General features: G+C 54.0%; 1 annotated feature.

The window, feature by feature from the left end:
- Nucleotides 1,348-2,172: an enhancer, noted in NCBI's record as "H3K4me1 hESC enhancer chr22:47945374-47946198 (GRCh37/hg19 assembly coordinates)". NCBI's record gives its function as "activates a minimal SCP1, AML or CMV promoter by ChIP-STARR-seq in primed H9 embryonic stem cells {active_cell/tissue: H9 hESC(primed)}" and the evidence as "EXISTENCE:reporter gene assay evidence [ECO:0000049][PMID:30033119]".

Genomic DNA, 5,968 nt, shown 5'->3' with positions numbered 1-5,968 from the left:
ACGGAGCACATGGGGGGAGACGTCGGGCTCTTCCGAGATTGTTATGTGCATTTTATTAGCCACAGCGAGCCAAGAAGGACGCTGGTGAAACTTCTCCAAAAGCCACAGCCTGCATAACTGAAGCCACCCGGCCATCAGGCAGCCCTGCTCACTGTGCACGCTCCCAGTTCCCTGCCTGATATATATCAGAAGCTTCCTAGACATTCATGGATGAATAAAGGAATGAATGGGAAATCCCAGCGGGGCAGTCCTGGCAGGATATAAAAGGGAACTGGGATGATCTGTGTCATTCTTTCATGCATTGATTCAACCAAAATAAAAGCATAGACACTGTTTACATGCCAGGTACAGTGTGAGAGAATCACAGCCCATTCCCTGGAGAAGGTCACAGTCTTAAAAGGAAGGTGCCCAAGCACCCCGCTCGGTGTGAGTCCATAAGAATTCACTGTATGCTGGGCACGGTGCGAACCCTGGGGGAACAGTGGCAAGTACAACTGGCCCTTCCCTGCCCTCATGCCGCTGGTGGCTTGCCTGACCGATAGCACAGGTGAGATTCCAGGCGGAGGACAGTGCTGTGATGAGGAAGGGTCTCAGCAGGAGTTCAAGAAAGGGGTTTCAGATGGCAGAGAAGTTCCCATGGGAAGAGCAGGAGCCAAAAGAAACAACAGAGCGGACTTACCGAGGCCAGGAGGCAGGAACCCCCAGCCCCGGGAGTTAGAAAACAATCTCCACTCGGAGGACTCCGAGGACACAGCCCATTCTGGGGCTTGTCTCAGCAGACATAGTGCAGGAAAGGAGTGGGGACATAAGAAGCACTGTCCCCCGGAGGTGTGACATTGTCCCCTGGAGGTGTCACGCTGTCCCCCCAGAGGTATAAGTGACACTGTCCCCCAGAGGTGTGGCACTGTCCCCCAGAAGTGTGACACTGTACCCCAGAGGTGTGGCACTGCCCCCGCGGAGGAGGAGACAGTGTCAGAGACAGCCCAGGGGCCTCTGAGAACTGAGTGCAAACCGAGAAGGATGCGGGGGGCGGATCTGCATCCAGCAAAGGAAGACAAGGCCAGACACGCAGCGGGGCAGGACGCTGCCCAGCCTACAAGGTCAAGACCGGCAGCTGGGCTCCCTCATGAGACCCCCCCCAGCCCCCACATCACTGGCAGGGCCCTGTGCAGCTCCTCCTCTCTGGAGTTCCCTGCCCACTGCACAGGAGCTGGCCACACACAGAAGAACCTTTAAACAACAGCTAAAAGGGACAGGTTTGTTAGCATGGGGCAGAAGCCAAGCTGCCCACCCACTGCCCAAGGCTTTTTTAGAAACTGTGATTCCATCCCAGGCTCGAGGCTTTGACTCCCAAAGAGCCTAACCTCTCCCCTACTTGATGAAAAGGAGCCAAGCCCAGCGATCAGACCCAACCTGTCTTTCCCACTTAGTTTTAGGTAGAGAACTTGGCACAGAGGAGAAAAGACAAACGGGGAGATGCTGGCCATGGGGCACATCTCTCCCATGTGGAGAGAGGAAGGAAAGAGAAGGAGCCGGGCAGCCAGGTACTCGATGCATCCAGCCCCAAGAAATGAGGAAGCCCAAGCATGCAGGCTGGCCTGGGAGCTCGGACTGCAAGGTGACCAGAACCCAGCCCAGCCCGATTTCAGATGCCTGCGGGTCATGCCGAGAATAGTCCCTCCTCCCCCAGGGGCCAGTGAGCCGGGGAACCGAGCAGAAGCTCCCCAGGTGAGGGAGGGGCCAAGTGCCTGCCTCTGTAGGAGCAGCAGAAGCGTAAAGAGGGACAGAAGGGTGCAGCACACCAACATGGCACATGTATACATATGTAACTAACCTGCACGTTGTGCACATGTACCCTAAAACTTAAAGTATAATAATAAAAATATATATATAAAAAAAAGAGGGACAGAAATGCCCCCAGAACGATGGCTGGCGCTGACCGTTGGCACTCACACGTCATTGTGATGTGCAGTCTAGAGTCTGTCCTGCGTGGGGACTCTGGGTGGCTCCAACTCCACGGTGGGCCCCACCTTCCTGCTGTTGCTGCCAACCCAGGAAAGTCTGGCCCTTGGGCATTTAAAGATCAATGATCTATGCATATGGCCCAGCTGTGATGTTAGGCAGGTATATGACGTCATACCTCCAAAAATGCAGAGAGGTAAGTAATGTTCCCTTAACAAGGAGATGGACCCTTCATGAAGCAATGAGTGCTTTTCACCCCCGACAGTTCCTCTGCCACCCTCAAACACATCATTGCCTTTAGCAAAACTTTTCCCTGCCTTTTCCCACTGCCCATGACAGGGGATGGGGATGGGTGGAGCTCAAGGACGGCCCAAGGCCAGCACAGTAAGACCCGAGTGCCCACATCCATGGGCACCCTCTTATTCTGTTGTCCATGAATTCGACAGTCACCTCCAAGAACCTCAGCTCAGCTGGGCATTGGAAGAGCTCTCAGTACAGGGAGGAGCCCGAGAGAAGAGGGCCCTGGGCCAGCACAGGGTGGAAGCGCTGCTCTGCCCACAGGAGCCTCGGAAGGCAGAGCAAAGTCTCCCACAGCCCACGAGGGCACCACCATGGTGCCCACGCTACAGATGAGGAAGCTGAGGGTCACAGAAGCAAGTCCAGCTCCCCACAGCACGGATGGGATCCTGCTGTCCTGTCCACCGTTTCCCCACTGCAAGCCCAGCAGGCCCCCAGGAGCTCAGGGCCCCCAGGAGCTCAGGGCCTTCAGGAGCTCAGGGCCTCCAGGAGCTCAGGGCCCCCAGGAGCTCAGGCCCCCAGGAGCTCAGGGCCTTCAATCAGGCTTGGCCTTCACACATGTTCTGTAGGCAGTGAGGGAAATGAGGATTTTTTTTCTTATTGTTTGAAAATCACATTCACTGTGGTTGCTGATTTCAACAACCACCAGAGATTAGGCCCATGGATCATACCAGGGTCCGTTTCCCGGTTTTGACCACGTGCCTTCACTCCATGGCATGACAGACCCACTGGGGAAACACAGGAAGTTCACAAAGGATCTCATTGCATTATGTTTGCAAATTCTGTGACTCTATAATTATTTAAATATAAGAGGTTTTTAAGAAACCTATATATGCTCTTTGTGGAAGGTTAGAGGAATACAAACAATGGCGAAGAAAATAAAAATCACCGGTAATCACATAGCTCATCTCCCTAATTTTCTAGTATGTTGGTGCTTTTTTTCTGTTCAGGGATGTTGACTCAGTACAGATAGATAAGTGAACACAGAATGCCTCTCCAGTAGCTGGGATTACAGGCGGACGCTATCATCTGTCACGTACACATTTTTGTATCTGCCTAACGTTCAGGAACCCCTGTCCCTTTCTGCCAACAGTGGCTCTAAAACTATGCTTCCTTGTGGCTGTGTAAAGAGGCATCCTGCAGCTGTCCAACCACCCAACACCATTTATTAAAGGCCGACCGTGTGCCAGGCACCCCCTGCAGACAAAACCCTGCTTCTGTGGAGCTCACACGAAGAACACGGGATGCGAATGTCAGAGCATAAGCAGGGCAGGTTCAGGTGCAGGTAATAAAATGGGCACCCCAGTGGGGATAACGAGGCAACACTGGGCAGGTGGTCAGGGAAGACCCCTCGAGGGGGTGCTGAGGCTGCAGGATGAAGAGCGGGCCAGCCACACAAGGGCGTGCTCCGGGAGAGACAGATGGCAGGGGCCATGACCTGGCACATTTGCCACTTGCCCAGTGTGGCCATAAACAGGTGGCCCTGAGACCCCATGCCAGGAAGCCAGGGCGGACAGGCCAGAGTGAGCTCAGAGCGGAGTCACAGCAGCGTCTGCTGGGGCCGCAGTGCAGGGTGGAGAGCCCGGGAGGCTTTAGGCAGCCAGGCCAGGTCTGGTTGACTTTGTTAAGTGGTCACTTTGGTTGCTGTGTGGGCAGAGGGTCTGGAGGGCATAGGAGCGGCGCCTGCAAGGGCTTCCACTCTCCAGCACCCCTCAACTGTGGGAACTTTCGATTAAAAATAGCTCAGGCACTCTACATTGTCAAACATCTCATGAATATAAAGGAGCATATTTGGGCTACTTTCTATTTTTAAGCAATGCTTCTATCAAAGTCTCCTCTCCCTCCATCCCTTCTTCCATACCTACTCACTGGTGGCCGGATGTTGCCCAGGCTGGGGCTCAGAGAGCCAATGGGGTCCGGGAGTCTTGGGGAGGGTCAGTCCCAGGCCTGAGCCTCACCTGCCACAGGTCCAAGATGTGGGTTTGTTCTCTGAGAGCCGCCGAGGTGTTTAAACCTGGAGGGTAACCCAATGGGGGTTCCTTGTGAAAATGTACCTGACTTCTAGGTGCAGAGCAGGAGGAGGGGCCCACATCAGACCCCAGCTGGGTAAGTGAGGGGCTGTTGCCAGGACAGGATGGTGCCTTGGCTGGGCCTGAGGCAAGACAGCAACAGGCCAGATGGACAGAAGCCGAGTGTCAGGAAGCATTGAGTGACGAGGAGGAAGCAAAGGGCTGGGCACAGGACTACATGTGGGAGGACAAGCCCCCAAGTGGAAAACAGCTCAGGGAGAAGATGACAGGTTTCATGTCAAATATGTTTTGCTGAGGGGCCTTAAACTCACCAACAGGGGTGCTCAGGAGGGGCCTGGGCACCAGGACAACATGGGAGCACCGGGGGCCTCCAGGAGCAGTTTACAGGGTGGCGATAGGGCCAGGGCAGCCGGGTGAAGGAGGGAGGTAGGGAGACAAGGATGGGGGCACGTGTCGGACAGGGAGCTGAGGCACGCAATGCTCATCCTTGGAGTGGATGCAGGAGATCCCAAGGTCAAGAAGGTGCCAAGGCTTTTTTTTTTTTTTTTTTTTGAGACGGAGTCTTGCTCTGTCTTTCAGGCTGGAGTGCAGTGGCACAATCTCAGCTCACTGCAACCTCTGCCTCCCGGATTCAAGCGATTCTCCTGCCTCAGCCTCCCGAGTAGCTGGGATTACAGGCGCGCGCCATCACACCCAGTGAATTTTTGTATTTTTAGTAGAGACGGGGTTTTGCCATCTTGGCCACGCTGGTCTCGAACTCCTGGCCTCCAGTGACCCGCCCTCCTCAGCCTCCCAAAATGCTAGGATTACACGCCTGAGCCACCGCGCCCAGCCAAGGCTCTTAATAGCAGTTGGCAATGACAGTATAAAGAAGGGGTGGATTCTTCAGAAATCAAGACAGACACATTGGCACAGGTCTTGAGAGAGAAATCCTGGACATTTCCTTAGGAAACTCTGGGAAAGGGGGTAGGAGCTGCAGGGGCAGAGGTGGTGGCCAGTTTGTTTTTCCTGACACAGTGCATTGTTCCATATGGAGTCATCGCTGCCATTAAAAATGGCTAATTTAAAAAAAGGAAGGAGCACAGCAGTGTGGAGTGGCAACCAGATAAGGCAGTCTTGGGCCACCCAGGAGCCAGAGTCCTCCAGGTCCCGGCTCTGCCTTCTCCATCCAAAACCCACAAGCTCTGTCCATCCTCCAGAGGTCCTGCTACATCAGGCCTTCCCTTCTCCACACTTGATGCCCTCGGTTCCATGTCAGTCTCCACTAAAATCAGTTTCAAATCCCTTCACCATCATGCACTTGACTTCTGGAATCAAAATGTAAAAGCAAAAGGGACCCTCCAACAGAATCCGTTACTTTTGACAGACAAAGAACCTAGGCTTGGAAAATGACAGTCGCAAGTCCCACACTTCCAGGGGCAGGCAAAGGTGACATGTGGGCCCCTGGCCCTCACCTGTCCAGTGCTCTGTGCCTTCTGGGTACCAGAGCAGCTTCTAACACCATAAAACAAGTCATGTTGCTCTAAAGGAGAAAACCAGATCCCATGGCAATCTCTGGGATGGTCAGTGTTTCCCTGAACCCGTCAAGGGATGGTCAGGTCCCCCTTTTCATACCTCCCGTTAGCTGCTTACACATTGCACCTGCAATTTTCATCTTGTTTATAAGAATCGCATACAGC

This window comes from Homo sapiens, chromosome 22 (genome assembly GCF_000001405.40).
Source record: "Homo sapiens chromosome 22, GRCh38.p14 Primary Assembly".
NCBI lineage: Eukaryota > Metazoa > Chordata > Mammalia > Primates > Hominidae > Homo > Homo sapiens.
Note: the sequence above shows the minus strand (reverse complement) of the source record. Positions and strands in the feature narration are given on the sequence as shown.